The sequence below is a fragment of the Homo sapiens genome, chromosome 1 (genome assembly GCF_000001405.40).
Source record: "Homo sapiens chromosome 1, GRCh38.p14 Primary Assembly".
Taxonomy (NCBI): Eukaryota; Metazoa; Chordata; class Mammalia; order Primates; family Hominidae; genus Homo; species Homo sapiens.
This window is the reverse complement of record NC_000001.11, coordinates 22,653,005-22,673,160: the sequence shown is the minus strand read 5'-3', so window position 1 is coordinate 22,673,160 and position 20,156 is coordinate 22,653,005. Positions and strand designations below refer to the sequence as shown.

The 20,156-nt window shown below is 51.0% G+C and overlaps 1 protein-coding gene across 3 annotated transcripts; it reads right to left on the bottom strand.

Annotated features, from left to right (window-relative positions):
• Positions 11,524–19,925, bottom strand: C1QB (complement C1q B chain). Of its 3 annotated transcripts, NM_001371184.3 has the most exons (4): positions 19,858–19,925; positions 19,001–19,153; positions 13,518–13,721; positions 11,524–12,349 (listed from the first exon to the last, which is right to left on the bottom strand). In NM_001371184.3, the coding sequence occupies exons 3-4, from the start codon at positions 13,696–13,698 to the stop codon at positions 11,775–11,777; spliced, it is 756 nt and encodes a 251-aa protein (NP_001358113.2). In that variant the 5' UTR covers positions 13,699–13,721; positions 19,001–19,153; positions 19,858–19,925; the 3' UTR covers positions 11,524–11,774. The 3 variants fall into 2 exon arrangements, with proteins under 3 accessions (NP_001358113.2, NP_000482.3, NP_001365085.1); NM_000491.5 differs by lacking the exon at positions 19,001–19,153.

Below are 20,156 nucleotides of genomic sequence, written 5' to 3'. Positions count from 1 at the left end.
CGCAGGGGCAGGGGTGGTGGGCTGACAGGGACGGACCTGGGGCCACAGGGAAGTTAACCCTTTCAGGGTCCTGGGATGGAGCTAGGAAGGGGCAAGGCCGTGGACCTGCCGTGCACCAGATCCTGAGCCATGCGGTTTGGGTGGCTTGAGCACTTTGAACCTGGGAAGGAAGGGTTGGCCCATTGGAAAGGCACTGGCTTTTAAACGGGGGGACCTGAGTTTGGCTCTTGCTAGCTATGTGACCCTGGACTAGTGTGAGCCTGTGTGAGCCTCAGTTCCTTATGCATGAAATGGGGATGATAGTAATGAGATCTATGCCATTCCTACCACGGTAAGAATTGAGCAATAATGAATACAAAGCACTTAATACAGTGCCCAGGACACAGCAGGCCCTCGATCAGAGGACCTGCCTTCACGACTCTGATGCTGTGTGAAGCTTGCCAGAACCCCTTGAAGCCCCCCAGAGCCCCTCAAAGCCCCCAGACATCCTTCATAGGGATCTCCCCAACACCCAGCTGTGTTCTGGATGCCTTTTCTTGTCCCGGGACCACCTGACAGACTTTCCTACCATTCTACACAAGACATAGCTGTGTTCTGTCTCCTGACATTTGCTTTAGCCTCTACTCAGAGTTTCTGCAGAGGGGGTCCTGTCCAGCCTGGTGGCATGGAAGGGGCCTGGGCCCTGGGTCAGAATCCCAGCTCAGCCACATTCCAGTTCTGTGACCAAGGCCAGGTGCTTCACTTCTCTGGGCCTTCATTTCTTCCTCTATGAAATGTGAGTAACAAAGTGCCGTCCTCGTAAGAATGCTGTCCCAGTTAATGAAGATCATTCTGTAAGGAAGCCAGCACAGCACCTGTTACATAGTAGGTGCTCATTAAATGGTGCTCTTCATCATTGATACTTCAAGAGAGTGGCTTCAGTGCCAGACTGTCTTAGTCCATGCCCCAGCTCTGCCGTGGGCTAGCTGTGAGGACTCGGTCAAATTACTTCCCTATACCTCACTTTCCAGATCTGTGAAATGGGCATAACAGTCACACTTGCCTCATGGAGATTAAATGAGTGAAGATGTGTAAAGTGTTTGGAACAAAACCTGGAACAAGGGAGGAGCAAAGTTGGTGCCAGGCTATTCTCTTTTTCTGAGGTTCAGAAGCAATTTGTGAAAAGGCATCTCCAGTCCCCTCCCCTGCCCTCATCCTGCCATTGGGACTGGGAGACAGGTCTCCCAGGCTACCTTTGTCTGGTGCTCGGGTTGCAGCATGGTGAGCTCTCTCCCTGCCCTGGGTTTATCTTTCTGCCTCCCTGAGGGACTCCAACAGCATCAAGGGCTTCTCCTGCCATAGGAATGGCAGGAGCACTGGTCTCAGAGTCACCTACGCACTGTGTGACCTCAGGTACATAACCCCACTCTCCAGAACGGCTTCTCTTGCCATGGGATTCTGCCCCTGCGTTAATCATGAAATCTCCCTTTTCCACGCAGCCTAGTCCTGACCATTGTTTCACTTCCTGGAAAAAATTCCATGTGCCTGAGCTGAGATGAGCCAGAGATCATCTGGTCCAGTCCCGTCATTTTACAGATTGGGAAACTGAGGCCAGGTATTGGCCTTATCACAGTGCTCCAAAAGGAAGAGCCCGGCCGGGCCAGGGATTTTACAGATGAGGAAACCCAGTCCCAGAGACTGGAGTCACTTATCTGAGGTCACACAGTGAGTCAGTGACTCTGGGAGCAGTGCTCCTGCACCTTACTTTGCCCCCAATTACCTACTTTCAATGTTGTTTCACTGAGAATGTCAAAGTCTCTCCCCACTTGGATCCAAGGAAAGGGCCATTCATTGAGCACCTGTGTCTACAAAGTGGGCAGCTCCATTCCCCAGTGTGCCCCTTTTTGTGTTTTCCTGGTTGCAGTGAGTGCCTGCTCCTGGAGAGGGACTACCCTGGGCAGCTTCCAAAGGTGATCTTTATTTCTTAAGAACCCATGGGCACATATATTATGTCCCCATTTTATAGATGAGGAAACCGAGGCTCTGAAGGGGAGAAGTGACTGCAGGTCACACGACAATCAGGCCTGGCCTGGCGGGGGGCTCAATGGGAGACTGTTCTCCCACTCCCCACGCCTGGCAGGACCTGCGCAGGTTTCCACCACGGTGAACTCGCTCTGTATAAAGCCATCATGGCCTAAGCTGTAAAACAGAAGGAATGAAGACATATTTTTCTGGTCTCCTTCCCCGGAAACCAGCTGGGGCTGGGGCCCGGCGAGGCTGACATTTATGTACTGTCTTTAATCACAGTAGCTGACGTATTCCAAATAAGGTCTGGAGACACCTTGTTAACGAGGGCCCAGCTGTCTCTCCTGTGGATACCTGTGCTGGCATGGGGAGCCCGCCCCGAGATATGCTAACTCAGGCCTGGAGCCTGCAGACAGACCCACCCTGTGGCACGGCTCACGTGCTGCCGCCGCAAGCCCTGCAGAGGCAGGGGCTTGTTGGAATGGCTGGAATCCAGGCTGGAGGGAGAAGGAAAAATTTGTCCTAAGGTGGGCACAGGATTTTTGCCTCTTGTGGCTCACCTGAACCTCACAACAACCAATAGTCACATTCCACAGGTGAGGATGCTAACATTTGTTGAGGGCCTACTATGTGTCTGGGAGGGTGTGTGGTTCTTTTGTTTTGTTTTGTTTTAAGACAGGGTCTTGGTCTGTTGCCCAGGCTGGAGTGCAGTGGTGTGATCATGGCTCACTGCAGCCTCTACCTCCTGGGCTCAACAGAGTTTCTCACCTCAGCCCCCCGAGTAGCTGGGACTACAGGTGTGTGCCATCACACCCAGCTAATTTTTTTATGTTTTGTAAATATAGGGTCCCATTATGTTGCCCAGGCTGGTCTCGAACTCCTGGGCTCAAGCAATGCACTTGCCTCAGCCTCCTGAAGTGCTGGAATTACAGGCGTGAGCCACTGTGCCCAGCCTTGTGTTTCTTTATAACAGCCAGATTTTATTTTATGTCTACTATGTGCCAGGTGGGTGCTTTACATACACTAGCTCATGGAATGCTCATAACAATAGTAGCCAATAGAGTTCCATTTTGTAGCCAAGGATATAAAAGCTCAGAGTCGAGGCGACTTGCTTGTCAAGGTCATCCAGCTAGAAGGTGGCAAAGCAGGAATGAACTCGGTAGGGCTCAAGCAAGAAGCCAGTGAGGGAACCTGCACAATGCACCTGGCATGGCACCTGACACGTCGGAGTTGCTTGGTGCATCCTGCTTTGCTTCCTTTGCCTTCTTTTTGGTGGTTGACTTGTTTACGTCCTCTCTTGCTCCACAGATGCTGTAAGGCAGATTATAGGGAGAAGTATGTGATGAAGCAGGGTGCCGTGGCTCACACCTGTAATCTGAGCACTTTGGGAAGCTGAGGAGGGCAGATTGCTTGAGCCCAGGGGTTTGAGACCAGCCTGGGCAACATGGCAAAACTTCGTCTCTACAAAAAATACAAAAATTAGCCGAGCATGGTAGTGTGCACCTGTGGTCCCAGTTACTTGGGAGGCTGAGGTGGGAAGATCACTTGAGCCTGGGAGGTTGAGGCTGCAGTGAGCCATGATCATGCCACTGCACTCCAGCCTGGGCAAAAGAGCAAGACCCTGTCTCAAAAAAAAAAAAGTGATGAGAAGACATAAATGAGAAGAATCTGCAAAAGCAATGGGAAAATGTGGTTGGAAAGGCAGGAAGACGTAGACAGAAATGAGAGTGGAGGCTACAAAGAAAGTATGGGCCAGGCATGGTGGCTTATGCCTGTAATCCCAGCACTTTGGGAGAACGAGTTGGGCAGATCACTTGAGCTCAGGAGTTCGAGACCAGCCCAGTCAACATGGTGAAACCCCGTCTCTACTAAAAATACAAAAATTAGCCAGGTGTGATGGTGCGCGCCTGTAATCCCAGTGACTTGGAAGGCTGAGGCAGATGAATTGCTTGAGCCTGGGAGGCAGAGGTTGCGGTGAGCCAAGATCACACCACTGTACTTCAGCCTGGGAGCCAGAGAGAGACTCTGTCTCAAGAAAAAGAAAGAAAGAGAGAGAGAAAGAGAGAGAGAGAAAGAAAGAAAGAAAGAAAAGAAAGAAAGAAAGGAGGAAGGGAGGGAGGGAGGAAGGAAAGAAGGAAGGAAGGAAGGAAGGAAGGAAGGAAGGAAGGAAGGAAAGAAAGAAAGGTAGGTTCCTAAAGCCCTGAATGCTCTCTGAGCCCTAGTGGGTTTCTCTGGAGGTTCTCGGGCCTCAGTTGTCCATTGGGTCCTTGCCTCTGGACAGTGGTAATGATGCCCACATCAGGGGCTGCTGTGAGGATGACATGGGCTAATGTCTGCACAACGGGTACGTTCATGAGGCTCAGTTTGGCTTCTCCCTGCCTGCTTTCCTTTCCTTCCAGATGCCAAGCCTTCCCCTGGAAATTGTCCCAAGGGCTTAGGAAACATTATTAGTATAGGCCCTATCTTTCCAGGCAGGACATAATTTTGACAGTCCTTCCATCTTACCTTTCTTCATTCCGTTTGGCAGCTATTCACTGAGCATATATTATGTATATCTGTCTCCAGGTCCTATACTCTCTGGAGTCGATCAGTCAATTAATTAATTAACTAATATAGCCATGCTTTCATGCATTCATTTGATAAACATGAATCTTCCAGGCTCTCTGGGCTGTGAGATGTCAGTTTTGGCCTCCTTTGTTCCCTCCTGGGTCCTGGCCGTGTTCTGCGTAGCTGAGGATTCTGGATAAGTAAGGTGTAATCGAGGGACTGGGCTACTGCTTTCTCACTGGTCGGTGACCTTGTCACCATTCATTACCCTTTTCTTGAGGGCATCACCAAGCTCCCCTAGTTCCTAATCAATAGGCTTGGGGTGGGCTTGACACTATCACAGGCTCCCCTGGTGAGTCTGATGCAAGCCCCTCTTTCTATGGGATAGTCTGAGGCTCAGAGAGGGGTAGCAACTTGTCTGAAGTTGCACAGTAAGTCAGGTTCCGAGACCAGCGTAAAACTGGGAGCTCTTTACTTCCCATCCAGGGTGCCTCCTGCTCTGCCAGGTCCCCTCACTGCGGGTGTCCCTCCCTGGGTGGGCTGCTGGGTTTCTCGAACAAACACCCCCTTTTCTCCTGCATCTAGTCAACAGGGTTGTCTATGAGAATGCCTCCTGGCTATGCACAAAGATAAATGCAGCTTGCAGCTTGCTCTGAAAGGATGGCATGTTTGTGTGTGTGTGTGTGTGTGTGTTGGGTAGGGGGGTGGTTTAAGGCAGGGCACCTGGTGCTCCATTGTCAGCAGGAGACCAGAAAGGCGAGGGCATGGAGGAGAAACAGGAGGGAGACCACAATGCTCAGCGTTGGGGAAACGATGATCCACCCTTTGTCCTTTCCTCTGCCTGACCTTGAACTCCCGCATCCTCACCATCAGAACATCATCACAATGAGCACGATAGCAACAGTACGGGTAACATGTTAATTACAGAGCACTTGCTGTCTACCAGCTCCTAGGCTAACTGGTGCCTATGGATGACGGAATTCAACTTCATAACAAATCAAAATGCTGAACCACCGGTTGGTTCTAACCCTGGCTACCTAAAGCGTGGTCCCAGCTCAGCAGCATCAATGCCTCCCAGCAACTTATTAGAAAAGCAAATTATCAGGCCTCTATCCCAGACCTACTGAATTTGAATCCGCATTTTGACAAGACCCCAGGTGATTTCTGTGTACATGAAAATTTGGGGAACGCTTGCACCACCATAGCATCCTGATTCTAAACAACCCATCACCATAACGACAGCTGCTACTTGTGGGGAACTTTCTGTGTGCCAGGGGCTTTGCACACAGAATCCCATTTAATCCTCATCAGCTTTCTGGAGTAGGTCTGATTATCACCCCCATGTGACAGATGAAGAAACTGTGACCCAGAGAGGTTAAGTAATTAGCCTGAGAACACGCAGCTTGTAAGTGGTAGAGGTGAGATTTGAACCCAGCCTCTCAAAGCCCCGTAGGCTTTTCTTCTTCGCTGCATTTCTCATCTTTTGTAGGTGCTGACAGACAAAAAGTCTTCTTCCCATTTTCTCTCCCCATATAGCCACTGGATTCCTGGGGGAAGAGGCTGCGTCTACTGCTATTCAAGCTTTCATGTTCATTAGCCCAGCCCCTGGCTGGAGGTGGAGGGCCACCTTGAAACCAAAGCAAGGTATTTGAGAGAAGTGCAGATTCCCAGGCCCCTCCAGATATTGTCTAATCTGATGGAAACAGAACCATCAGCACCTCTGGTATGGTAACTGCATGCTAGCAAGTTTCTAGGGGATCTCATTGCACAGTAAAATAGGCGACCCAGTGCCTCAGATTGCACAGAGATTGCAATGCTCATTTTACTGTTAAAGGCAGTGAGACCCAGAGAGTTTTTCTGCCAGTGTCCCAAGGTTGGGATCTGGCAGACGAACTTACAGGAAGGAGTACTGACTTGGGAGTCAGGCAGTGCTGGGCTCAACTTCCTGCTCCTCTTTTCCAAGGTTAGAGCCATATTTGGGACTAGAGAAGGTTGGCAAACTATAACCCATAGGCTAAATTCAGCCCACAGCCTGTTGTGTGCAGCCTGCTAGCTAAGAATGGTTTTTACATTTTTAAATGGTTGAAAAAAAAACAAAAGGAAAATATTTTGTGACACGAGAATATTATGTAAAATTCAAATTTTAGTGTTCATAAAGATGTATTGGAACATAGCCATGCTCACTTATTTATATATTGCTCATGGCTGTTTTCATGTTACAAAAAGAGGGCTGAATACTTGCAACAGATGCTGTATGGCCTGCAAGGCCTAAAATATTTCCTGGTTGCTTACAGAAAAAGGAGGCAACCCCTGGTCTAAAGCAGTAATTCCCAAGCTTGGCTGCATCAGAATCACCTGGGCAGGTGACTGCTGGGCTCCTGCGTCCAATTTTCTGATTCAGCCAGACTGAGATGGGGCCAGAGAATTTGCATTTCTGACAAGTTTCCAGGCAAGGCTGATGCTGGGACCCCACGTTGAGGACGCTGGTTTAGAAGGAACCTGGGTCTTCAAAGCTGACCTCAGCACCTCCCTGGAAGTTCATAGCCCACCCAGAGAGTGGGAAGGCCTGGGGGAGAAGAGAGCAGGGAGGGAGGAGTTTCCACGGTCCCGCGTAACCACCGGTCCCTTTTCCAGGCAGTCCTTGTCTTGGTGTCTGCTCCCCCCTGGTGGCAGCAAGCCTGGAACAGGCCTGGCATGTTCAGCCTTGACAGCCCATCCCTCCATTTGGAAACACATTTCAAAGCCTTCAAAAGTGCATATCCTTTCACCTGGGGAGTCCACTTCTAGGGGTCTAATCCAAGAAAAGAATCAAGGATCTGCGCCAGGACATCACAGGTGCATTGTTTATTTGTATGGGGGTAAAACAGGAGACCAGGGCAGTCACTTGATGGGAGGCACACAGCTAGTGAGAAGCCCAGGCAGGGTTCGGACTCAGGTCTAAGTCAAGAGCTAGTGCCCGCAACTGCCACCAGCACCACCCTTCGGGGATCCTTCTGTCTGCAGTGACAGAGCAGCAGCTCCAGAACTGACTTGCCGGGCGTTGAACCTGGTTCTGTTACTTAACTAATTGCAGAATTTCGGGCAAGTCATTGAACTGCTCTGCCTCCGTGTTCCCACCTGTAAAAGGGGAACATGACTGTAAAGGTTACACAGGTTAACATGAAGTACATAGAACCGTGCATGGTGTGAGTTGTTGTTACCATTGTTTATTAAGCCCCCACCTTCCTGCTTCTTTGCCCTTTCCTCTCCTTTCCTCTCGTAACTGACTTAAAGCATTGTGGGTCACTGGGAGGGGCGTGTTGGTCAGGGTCAACAGGGGGTGAAGCCAGGACTCAGCACTGTAGTCAGAAGGTGACATATTTAACAGGGCCTGCCAGTGCTGTTCTGAGAACTGCCCCCACCCATTGGGCTCCCTGTACCTCAGTTTCCATATCTGTGAAATGGTCATAGCAATAGTACGGGCCCACCACGGATTAAACGAGATAAGACTTATAAATTACAAAGCCTGAAACAAAGGAGGGGTTGCCTGTAGTCTGGCCACAGTGCACAGGCCTTCAACACGTGATTAAATAGACCTGGATTGAAATCCCAGATCCTCTGCATGATATGGGCAAATAGCATCCCTCCCCGAGTCTCAATATTCTTATCTACAGAATGGGAGCAATATAATGAGGGCAGTGGTTCTCAACAGGTCGTCTCCAAAACAGAAGCAACAGGCCGGGCGAGGTGGTTCGTGTCTGTAATTCCAGCACTTTGGGAGATCGAGGCAGGAGGAATACTTGAGCCCAGGAGTTTGAGACCAGCCTGGGCAATATGGCAAGACCCCATCTCTATTTAAAAAAAAACAAACAAATCCAGAAGCAACAGCACCCTATGGGAACTGTTAGAAAATGCAAATTCTAGTAAGCCCTTCTTGTGACTGTGATGCTTGCTGAAGTTTGAGAAGCACTGGATTAGAATGATCTACTCCTCAGCTGATTGGGCGAGGAGTATCCTGATTCCAAGCAGGGGCAATTGCATCTCTCTCCTGGGAACTGGGGATTGGAGATGTTAGACTCTGTGTCACTTCTATGAAAGATGGGGGCTAACTTGGGGGTCCAGACGTCATCTGGGGGCATCCGCTTGCCTTCACAGTTGAGAGGGCAGTTCTGCAGAGAGAGATGCAGAAAAGAGAGGTCTCAGAGTAATATCCCAGTCCGGGTCTGGGGGGCACCCAGGTCTCAACCCTGTGTCCACTGAGACTGAGCAGCTCCCCTGCTCCTGGGTTCTTCTGATTACTCCCTTTTTTCTCCCAAGTTTGTTTGAAGGGGCTTCTGTCACTTGCAAGTAAAAGGGTTCTGGCATGTTGAGGGATGGGGGTCAGGATCAAGGGGGTGCATGAGGTTCAAGGGTCATAAGCCTGAGGAGAGCCACTTCCCTTCCTTTCCCTGCCCAACTGCTAGCCCAGGCAGAAGATTTGAGTCCCACTGCCTCTGAGAATGGGACCAAGGGGAAAAGGAAGGTGTCTGGGCAGTGATAAAACAGGTGAGCTACCAGGACTCATCTCAGATCACTTCTGGGTTCCCACACTGTTCTTGGTCCAGGTTCTTGTAATGAAACCTCACTCATCTCCCCAGAGAGCTGTAGGAGCAACCCTATCCCAACTGGTTGGAAAAGAGCCATGATAAAGGTGAAGGCTGAGTGCAGTGGCTCACATCCATAATCCCAGCACCTTGGGAGGCTGAGGCGGGTGGATTGCTTGAGCCCAGGAGTTCGAGACCAGCCTGGGCAAGATGGTGAAACCCCATCTCTACAAAAAAATGCAAAAATTAGCTGGGTGTGGTGGTGCACACCTGTAGTCCCAGCTACTTGAGAGGCTGAAGTGGGAGGATTGCTTGGGCCGTGGAGATCGAGGCTGCAGTGAGCCATGATTACGCCACTGCACTCCAGCCCGGGCAATAGAGCAAGACCCTGCCTCAAAAATAAATATAAATAAATAAATGTGAAGAGTCGAGATGCATGCACGTCTGCGTAGAGCAAGGGATGTTGGACTATGATGGCCATGGCTAGACACACAGTCAGAGCCTGGATTTCTGGCAGGTCTGGAAGCTCCTGGGAGGGCCCGACAAGGGCACTGTTATGAGTGTCCTGACTGCGGGGGTCTGGTGGAGGACAGGGGGCAGGGTCAGGGTTTATGGGTCAGGGGTCCGAGGAGGGTTGGTCTTGCAGAAGAGCCAGGCGGCCTGACAGCAGCTCCCGAGACAAGCAGGCAGGAGCGTGGAGCTCTGACTTCTCAGACAAGCCCGGCTCTGCCTGGGTCTGTGCAGCAAGATGGGGTGCTCTGCGCATGCTCGACACCAGCAGCCAGCTCTGCTTCCGGGTGCAGTGTAGCCTAGCAAGGATGGACCCAACTGCAGAGGCTCGAGAATGTGAACTCCTGAGGTCAGATGGGTTCAGGTGAGAGGTCATGGGGCTGCAGAGGGGGGTTGCTGCAGAAGGGGTTCCAACAGATGTGGATGGCAAGGAGGTGATGAAATCTGAGGCAAACAAAAGCAGGCTCCAAACCTGGCTGTGTAGCTGTCAGCTCTGTGACCCTGGACAAATTGCTTGCCCTCTCTGAGTTTTATATTTTTTGTCATGTAACCACATGAGGATGATACTATGTTCCTCCTAGGGGTTGTGGTTGGGAATTAAATGAGCTGATGTGCGCAAAGCACTAGATACACAGTAATTCAATTGTGGTGTGACCATTACTATCATAACTATTAGTATTAGAGTCAAAGGCCAGGCAGTTTGCATTGAAAGGGTTGAGCAGCAGAAATAAGGGCCAGCTCCTGGAGAAAAGATTCTAGGTCTCGGTTGGACCTAGTCTGGGGTTAGGGCAGGTCATCAAGGCCAGGCCCCAGGCCCAGGAGATAGGGCAGAAGCTGCACCCAATGAATGGAATCCTGAGAGACAGGCCAGCCAAACAGGAGGCTGGACTGGTTGACACGGGTGGGACTATCTTAAATCCCTCCCATCTCAGGTCAGGATTGGTTGAGGGTCTTGATGCTGGGGCTAGTAGGAGAGGCTGAGGAGAGCAGGTGCAGAGCTGGGCGGGACTCTGGAGTCCTAGTCCTGTGGTCTCAGCCAATCAGGCAATAAATCTTTACTGAGTGGCTGCTGTCCATCATGGGTTCTGTGCTGGCTCAGAGATGAGCAGGGTGCAGAGCTACAGCCTAGCTGGGGAGACAGGGTGAGGAGCCAAATGCTGGCTGTGCACGCTCTGGGGTAGAGGAGGCCAGAGGAGTGAGCGTGCGAGAGCTAGGGTGTTCCTGCTTCAGGGAGGAGGTGTGGCTTGAATGAGGATGGGTAGATGGGCAGAGTGGAAGGCTTCTAGGTAAGGGAACAGTGCGAGGAAGGGCACTGAGGTGGGCTTGTTTAGAAGACAGAAAGGCCCAGTAGAGTGAGGCTGGAAGGCCAAGTTCATGGGCTGGGACTGTATCTGGTGGGCAGTGGGGAGCCACTGAAGGTTTTTGAGCGGGGGAGTGACATTTACTCTAACTGGATGGCTGAGTTTGTGCTAGGCTGAGAAGATACTGGGAGGAAGGGCATGTGGGGAGAATAAGAAAGGGAAAGGTTCCTGCTCCAAGGTCAGTTAAAGCCTTGGAGGATGACCCCTTGATCCTTGGTAGGGGTAACAGGAAGGGACAAGCACAGAACCCCTTTAGGGGCTGGCCTAGACATGTTGCCTTTAAAAAAGGTCTCAGGCCATCAATGGGCAGGCCTGCCCTTGAATCCCAGCCCTGCTGTGAGATTGTGGACAATCCCTTCATCCCTTCTGATCCTCAGTTTGCTCTTCTGTAAGCTGGGCACGATGCGCCCTCTCCCAGGAGGAGTGTGAGGATTAGTGAGAGAATCAGGAAAAGGTGTAGGCTACCACTGGGAGCATAGTTGGTGCTGGACCCCCACCTCCCACTGTGTGGCTGGCACAGAGCAGCACACGGACAGAGATTTCATTCATTCATGGTTCATTCATTCATGTAACCAACATTTCTGAGCATGGCACTTCTGGTGTGCCAGGTGCTGGGACACAGAGTTGAATTAGACCACTGTCCCTTGGCCTTGAAGAGTTTATTTACTCATTCACTCAGCAGCATTCACCAAGCCCTACTGTGTGCATTGGTTGGGCAAGGGGTGGTGTTGGGGGTAGAGTGAGCGTTGCTGGCAGGGGGAGCCGGGGTGGATGTGAAGCAGCCCACAGGTCAGGCCTCCATATCTGGAAAGAGCAGGAACCCGGAAAAGATGCTGTTGGCACCCTCCATGCCCAGTAGTGAGTTCTTGTCGGTGGCCTGCAGGAAGACGTTCTCCCCCTGCTCCAGCTTGAGGACCATGCCACCGGTGGTGACCTGGAAGGTGTTGTAGGCATAGTCACAGAAGGTGACCACCTTCTGTGCACGCTCCCGGCCACGCATGAGGTTCACGCACAGGTTCCCTCGAGAGCTGGCGTGGTAGGTGAAGTAGTAGAGACCGGGCACCTTGCAGGTGAACTTGCCACTGCGGGGCTCATAATTGTTGTTCATGTTGGTGATCACGTGGTCGAAGCGGATGGTCTGGTCCCGGCGCAGGGGGACGTTGATGGTTCTTGTGGCAGAGAAGGCGATTTTCTGGGTGGCCTTGTAGTCTCCCGATTCACCTTTGGGGCCTGGGGCTCCAGGGGCCCCTGGGCCACCTTTAGGGCCCATGGGGCCCTTGGGGCCGACTTTTCCTGGATTCCCAGGAATCCCTGGGTCTCCCTTCTCTCCGAACTCACCATGGTCTCCAGCCAGCCCTGGAAGCCCTGGAAAAGCAGAGACCAAAGAAGTGAGATCACTGAGACCAAAAGAAGGAGGCCTGCGCTGGAACCTTGGGCAGGGCCCTGCCTCTCTCTGAGCCTCAGTCTCCCATCTGTAAAACGAAGGAGGCAGTGTCAGGCAGGGGCTCTGGGTCTCCCTCCAGCCCAGCTTCCTGAGTCTGTGATATGCTTGACCTTCTTGGGGGCTGCTGATCGTGGGGAGGGGAATGGCTCCTTGCTAAGGAAGGTGCTAGGCCGGCCCTCCTCCCCAGCTTGTGTGGGGGTCCTTCTTCAGCTAGAGCAGGGATAATGAGTGCTGTCTCCCTCTATCCCTCACCCCTGGCAGACATCCCTAATCAACCATGGCCTTCACTCTTGCTGCTCCTGGAAATGGACTTTAGACTCCTTCTCACTCCACCCCCCAAGCAGCCACTACCCCTTGGTTTGGCACAACACAAGATAAGACCGATTTTCCAGTAGAGTGGCAGAGAATAGGGCCTGAGAAGATGGGATCTGGGGACAGAGAGATGTGCTTTGCGTGTCACATCTGCCATTAGTAGTGGTGTCACCTTGACTGAGTCACATTTCCTGAGGACAGCCTCCTCATCTGTGAAATGGGGATGAAGATATTTTGTGGGATTGTAAGGATTAGATGAGATTATGTGAGGAGAGTGACTGGCACAGACAGTTGCTCTATAACGGTAGGTTAAATGAATGAATAAACCAAATTTTACAGAGGGGTTTTCAAGGCTGGGAGTCTCATTTGAACCCCATGACAACCCCAAAAAAGTACCATTGCCCCCATCTTACAGGTGAGGAAATAGCAATTCAGAGAGAAGTCATTTGCCCAGGAGGTAAGTTTAAACACAGGACTCTGTGGCCACAGCGGCACTCCCTCTCCACCTGAATTTAATGGTAAGAGATCCGTGGTCTGGTCTTAGCCTCAACATTTACTGGGCTACCTTGAGTAAGTCAGCAGACTTTCTAGATGCTAGTTTTCCTCTCTGTAAAATGGGAATCAGAATTCCCTCCTTGCAAAGTTACTGCAAGGGTTCAGCAAGCTGCTGGATTTGCCAGTGCTTTTGCAGTCTCAAAGGTAGGCAACTGTGACTTGGGAGGCAGGAGACGGGAAATTTGGTCAGTATTACCAGTGTCCTGCTAAATCCCATGGTACCTTTCTCTCCTTTTATCCCTGGGGTCCCAGGTTGGCCATCGGGGCCAGGTGTCCCAGGGATACCCGGGATGCCAGGGATGGCTGGGGGCCCGGTGCAGCTGAGCTGGGCCTGGGAGATATCGATTAGGCCCAGGAGCAGGAGCAACATCAGTACTGGGATGCTGCCCCATGGGATCTTCATCATCATACTGTGTCAGACGCCTCCTGTGGAGAAGACAATGTGAGAGGTTACCACCGTGGTGATCCTATCATCCATCCATCCATCCATCCATCCATCCATCCATCCATCCATCCATCTCTCTATTCCTCCATCTGCATCCATCCATCCATCCATCCATCCATCCATCCATCTCTCTATCCCTCCATCTGCATCCGTCCATCCATCCATCCATCTCTCTATCCCTCCATCCCTGCATCCATCCATCCATCTCTCTATCCCTCCATTCCTGCATCCAACCATCCATCCATCCATCTCTCTATCCCTCTATCTGCATCCATCCATTCATCCATCCATCCATCTATCTCTCTATCCTCCATCCCTGCATCCATCCCTCCATCCCCCTGTCCATCCATCCATCCATCCATCCATCCATCCATCCATCCATCTGTCTCTCTATCCCTCCATCCCTGCATCCATTCATCCACCCATGCATCCCTCTGTCCATCCCTGCATCCATCCATCCATCCTCCTCTCCATCCATCCATCCATCTCTCTACCCCTCCATCCCTGCATCCATCCATCCATCCATCCCTCCATCCTGCTGTCCATCCATCCATCCCTCCATCCTTCCATCCCTGCATCCCTCTGTCCATCTGTCCATCCATCCACCCTCCATCCATCCATCCATCCATCCTTCTGCCCCTGCATCCCTCCATCCCTCTGTCCATCTATCCATCCATCCGTTCATCCATCCATCCCTCTATTCCTCCATCTGTCCCTCCATCCATCCATTCCTCCATCCATATGTTCACTGATTGTCCCCTATCTACCAGACTCTGTGCAAGGTGCTGGGGATTCAGTGAAGAACAAGACGGATACAGTCCCTGCCCTCCTGGACTTGTGCCCCTAGTGGGGACAGATATAAACAGGTAGATATAAATGGGTCAGCATAAAGTAAATAGAAATAGTGATAGACCGTGATTGGTGCTCTGAAAGAAAGAGAAGGATGCTGGGAGGCAGAGTAACTGGGCTGGAGGTGGGAGGTGGTGGGTTTTGTGAGGGAAGTCCTCCCACCAGGAAAGTCTTCTCCAAGGGGAAGCCACTCTTGGAAGTGATGATTAGGCTGAGACCTGAAGGTCCAGAAAAGGTGGGGGCAAGAATGTTCCAGGAGGACAGAGAATATGGAGAAGGCCCAGAGGCAGGACAGAGGTTAGGATGTTGAGGATCAGCAGGAGGCCAGTATGACAGAGGGGAGCAAGAGTTCAAGTGACAGGAAGCAAGAGTGGAGAGGCAACTAAGCTACTATGAGTTTGGGGTTTTATTCCCCGAAAGCTCTTATTCAGTAGAGCTTCTGAATTCAGGGTATGATGCTGCTTATGAACGGGCCACCTTGCATGCTTAGAGCATCCCTGCATCTACTGTGATTCCTACACCAAAGGGGACACTGAGGCTCAGGGAGGCCAAGTCACTTGCTCAGAGTCATACAGGAAGGAATGAAGCCGATGTCCCTGCCAGCATACCAGGCTGTTTCTGCTGGTAGAATATTCTCAGAGCTGTGACTCTGGCAAGAGGGCAGTGATGGCCCCTTTTTAATCCCAAAGAACTAGGAAGAAGCCGGTGGGCTGTCTCAAACTGGTCAGCATGGCCAGTGTTCCATGCCATTAGCTCTCAGGACAAAGTGGCCTTTAAGTTCATCTAGTTTAACCCTCAGCCTATATATTTTTAACTGAGGCAACATTCCTACAACATAAAATTAACCAATTTAAAGCAAGCATTTTAGTGGTATTGAATACATTCACAGTCTTGTGCAACCCTCACTTCCATCTAGTTCCAAGACTTTTCATCACCCCAAAATAAAACTCTATGCCCGTTAAGCAGTTTCTTCTCAATCCTCCTTCCCCCAGCCCCTGACAACCATGAATCTGCTTTCTGTCCCTATGGATTTACCTATTCCTATTATTTCATATAAATGGAATTATACAACGTGTGACCTTTTGTGTCTGACTCATTTCATTTAGGGTAATGTTTTCAAGGTTCATCCATGTTTCTATGTTGTAGCATGTATCAGTACTTCATTCCTTTTTATAACTGAATAATACTCCATTGTATGGGTACATGTGATATTGCAAAGTATATATTTGGTCTTCTACCTCTTTCCTGGCAGACAACTCCTAAAATCCTTAGAATTTCCAAAGTGAGGTATTTTTGTATGCTAATGATTGATTGATGGCTGCCAGCCCCTAGGTAGCTTCAGGATGGGGCTCGTCACCAGGAAGACCAAGGCAGGCTTAGAGGGTCTACTCTCAGCCCCACCCCCCAACCTCTGGGGAGGGGAGTGGGGCTGAAGGTTAAATTGATTACCAATGGTCAATGGCTTAATCAATCGTGCCTACATAATAAAGCCTCCATAAAAATCCCAAAGAACTAGGTTTAGAGAGCTTCCAAATAGCTGAACACGAGGAGGTTCCTCGGGGGCAGCATGCCCAGGGACCTGGGCATGACAGTGGCACGCCTCTTCCCTCATACCTCACCCTGAGCATCTCATCTGTATCCTTTATAGTATTGTTTATAATAAACTTGTAAACGTGTTTCCCCGACTTCTGTGGGCCACTCTAGCAAAGAATCCAAACCCAAGCAGGGGGTTGTGAGAACCCCAACTTGAAGCTGATTGGTCAGAAGTTCTGGGGGCCTGGACTTGCAAATGGTGTCTGAGGGGGAGCAGTCTTGTGGGACTGAGCTCTCAGCCTGTGGGGTCTGATGCTATTCCTAGACAGTGTCAGAACTGAGTGGAAAGACACCCAGCAGATTTGATTGCTTGCTTGGTGTGTGGGGAGAAACCCCCCACATTTGGTCACAGAAGTCTTCTGTGTTGATTGTTGTGGTGTGAGAGCAGAGGAAAATACCGTTTGTGTCTTTCCACTTACAGACCTTCCACTTACACACTACAATTTGGTTTTGGGGTTTTTGGTTTTTTTTGAGATGGGGTCTCACTCTGTTGCCCAGGCTGGTCTCGAACTCTGGAGCTCAAGCCATCCTCCTGCCTCAGCCTCCTGAGTAGCTGGGATTACAGGCACGCACCATCTCGCTTGGCTATTTGTTTATCCACTCATCATTGGTGGACATTTGGGAAGTTTCCACCTTTTGGCTATTGTGAAGAGTGCTGCTATGAACATTTGTGAACAAGGATTTGAGTATCTGTTTTTAATTCTTTGGGGTTTATACCCAGGAGAGGAATTACCGCTTATGGCAATTCCATGTTTAAGTTCCTGAGGACCCTTCAGCCTATTCTTAAGTTTCCTCAATGACACCTCTGCCAAGGTCCCCCGTGTGGTGCCTCAACGCACTCCCCTGCTGCACAAACGTTGTGTTCACTCAGCCCTAAGAACTAATCACAACGCTAGCTGCACATCACATTATTTCCTTGGAAGAGTCAAGCTGAACTTTCTCAGCAGAGTGTGAGGAAATGACATCTCTGCCAAGGGCTCTTCCATCCATAGTTTGCACCGTTTCAGTGATGGGCAGCTCATTACCTCTCGAGGCAGCCCATTCCACCTTTGCCCAGATCCAAATGTTTTTTCTTCATTCGAAGCTTGGGTCAAAGCCTTCTTCCTCCAGGAAACCTTTCCTCAGAGGCTGAACTGTATCCTCTCTTAAAATGGGGGAGCAGAGTGGTCTCTGCCTACTTCCCAGAGTGGCCACAGGGACCCAGGTGAGACCATGGATGGGAAAGAGTCATAAAGCCTTGAGCCCCAAGCTCTCATTGGGACTTGTGGCTGCTACTGCTATTGCTGCTGTTCTCTGATCCTCTCAACACCCTGGGGAAGTGGGTTGTGATTAATTTCCCATCTTGCAGATGAGGAAACTGAGGATCGGAACTTAGAAAGCAACCTACCCAAAAATCACCCAGCAAACTATTCTAACAGCAGGGTTGTGGCCAAACTCCTACCCTCTCTGCCACATGCTGGCTGTCCCAACCCCAGAGTCTGGCATGTGGAGGGCTCCCTGGGACCAGACAAGGCCTACTGATATTTGGCTCCTATGCTCTGCAAACCAGCCTCAGCCCCTCAGCCTAGTCCTGATCAATTTCTTGCTGAAAGCCCTGAGTTATGCCAGACACTGTGCACCAAGGAAAGGAAGCTGTAAAGATGAGTGTGGCCAGGGAATGCTGGTGACAGCTTTAGGTTCTGTCAGGCTCTATGCTCTGAAGACAGGGTGGCTCAGGGGCATGGTCCTGCTTATCCATGAATAAGCATCAGCTCTCACTCTTGCTCTTGCTAAAGGTTTTACAAAATGGCAATTTAACAACTTTAATAAGTTGGGTACGTATAGGCCAGGCTCTGAGCCAGATGGCTTGCATGCCATTATCCCCTGTAATTTGATATTCAGCCCCTGAGAATGCACTCTTGCTTTCTTATTTTACAGATGAGGCAACGGGATCAGAGAGGGCAAGCACCTTGATAAAAGTCACACAGCTCCTGTGTGGCTGGGAGTCAAACCCACATCCACTGGATCTTAAAACTCAATGTTATGTTAAGAGGCCACTGTACCTGGTGGTAAAAACATAAACTTTGAAGCCAGACAGCCTGATAAAAGGACTAATGCATGGGACACACCAAGGGTAGTGGTAGGCACATGGTCAGTGTTCGGTGAAAGTGGCTTTTTACCACCACGATGATTGCTGCTCTTGTTAGGCAGCACACATTCACCTGGTGGCGGGAGCCTGTAGTGTCACAAGGAAAGCAACACTCAGCGTTCACATAAGGTCTCTACTGCTTCTTAGCTAAGGGACTTGGGAAATCACTCCTTCTCTCTGGCCACAGTTTACCCTCCTATAAAGTGGGGATAATGCTACTCTCTCCCTCATAGGGTATGTGCGAGGACATGAGTTACAGCTTCCAACAGAGCCTGGCATGTTGGAAATTCTTAATGAATATTAGCTATTTTATTATTATCACTGTCATCCAAGAATTCCTGAGTGGTTGAACAGAAGGGAAGATGGTTGGAGAAGTAAAAAAAGACAATCCCTTTGAAAGACTGTGTTTAGAGGGAGGGGCTCTGTCAGTTGGAGGCAGCAAGGGGTGGAGAGCTGTGACCAGTTGGTGGGGAGAGAGGGTGGGGAGCAGGGTACTGACAGGACTTGGGCTTCCTGGGGAAGCCAGGGGCAGGGGGAGTGGGAAAGTGCTGGTTCTAGCCCATTTCAAAAGCCACCGAGTTTCAGCCTTGGGTTAGGGCTTACAACTCATCTGGTTTAACTGCCTCCTGCCTGTGCCAGCCCATCATCATTGCCAGCGCGGTTTCTCCTGTCCTCCCCCCAGGCTCTGACCTTTCCATCTCCTTCGGTCCAGCAGTCCCTTTCCGCAACATGGAGTCAGGCCCACTTGACTTTAAAGCCCCATCTGCTACCGGCTGCATAACCTCAGGCAAGTGCCTTAACCTCTCTGAGCCTCTTGGCAATGCTGATTTCAACCTGACAGGGCTGCCAGAAGGATGACAGGAGAAGGCGCTTAGAAGAAATAAGGTCCCCCCTGCCCCGTGCAGTGCCACATCCCACTCCCCAGCTGCACAAACATTGCGCTCACTCAGTACTAGCTGAGAACTCATCGTAACTCTACCTGCACATCCCCTTATTTCTTTGGAAGAGTCAAGCTGAGCTTTCTCAGCGAGTATGAGGAAATAAGCAAGGTGTTGGGGAAATGCTGGGCCGGGCAGGAGCGACTGGCTTATAATCCCACTCCTGCCTCTGGTTTACTGATAAATTTTGAGCCAGGGCATGCACTAAGCTTTTGCAAGCTTGATCTCCTGTAAGGCACAGCAGTGCTGAAAGATTCTGTTCTCTGTAGGGGGGCCGGGCTGAGAGAGGTTAGGTGACTTGCCCAAGATAACCAATACATAAGGTGCAGAGCCAGACTCAGCTCAAGTCTCTGCGATGCCAAAGCTCCTATGTGCCAGGCTCCCGCTTTAGGTGGCCTGCCCATCCGCTAGGCCCTGGGTAGCAGCAGACTCCCCAACTCACCCCAGAGATCTGGGTCCCATAGGTCTGGGATTGGGCCCAGCTACCTGCACTGTTAAACAGCCTAACTGGCTCCGAGGCAGGTGACGCAAAGCTCACACTTACGGAATCACCACTTTCTGCCATATTGGCCCTGCCAGCCTCCCCCAGGCGCCAAGCCCCGTCCTCACCTGGGAAGCTGGTGTCCTGTGAGGCCACTGGGCTGAGCAGCAGTGGGACCAGGAGCCGAGAGCCTACTGCCCTCGGTCCGAAGCGGAAGTTCCCTTCCCCAGAGGCGGGAAGGGCTTTCCCCTGACGGTCCCCTCCCATGGACCAGCAGGCTGGCCCCTTTCCCGTCCCCTCACTGTCCCCCCACCCTGCTGCCCTCAGGCAGTTTCAGGTCCTATTTCTGCAACCCACTGGATTTACTGTAAATGAGACGGGTGGGTGGCAAGTTTGGTTCTGCCAACTCAGCAGCTGTGGGGAGAAC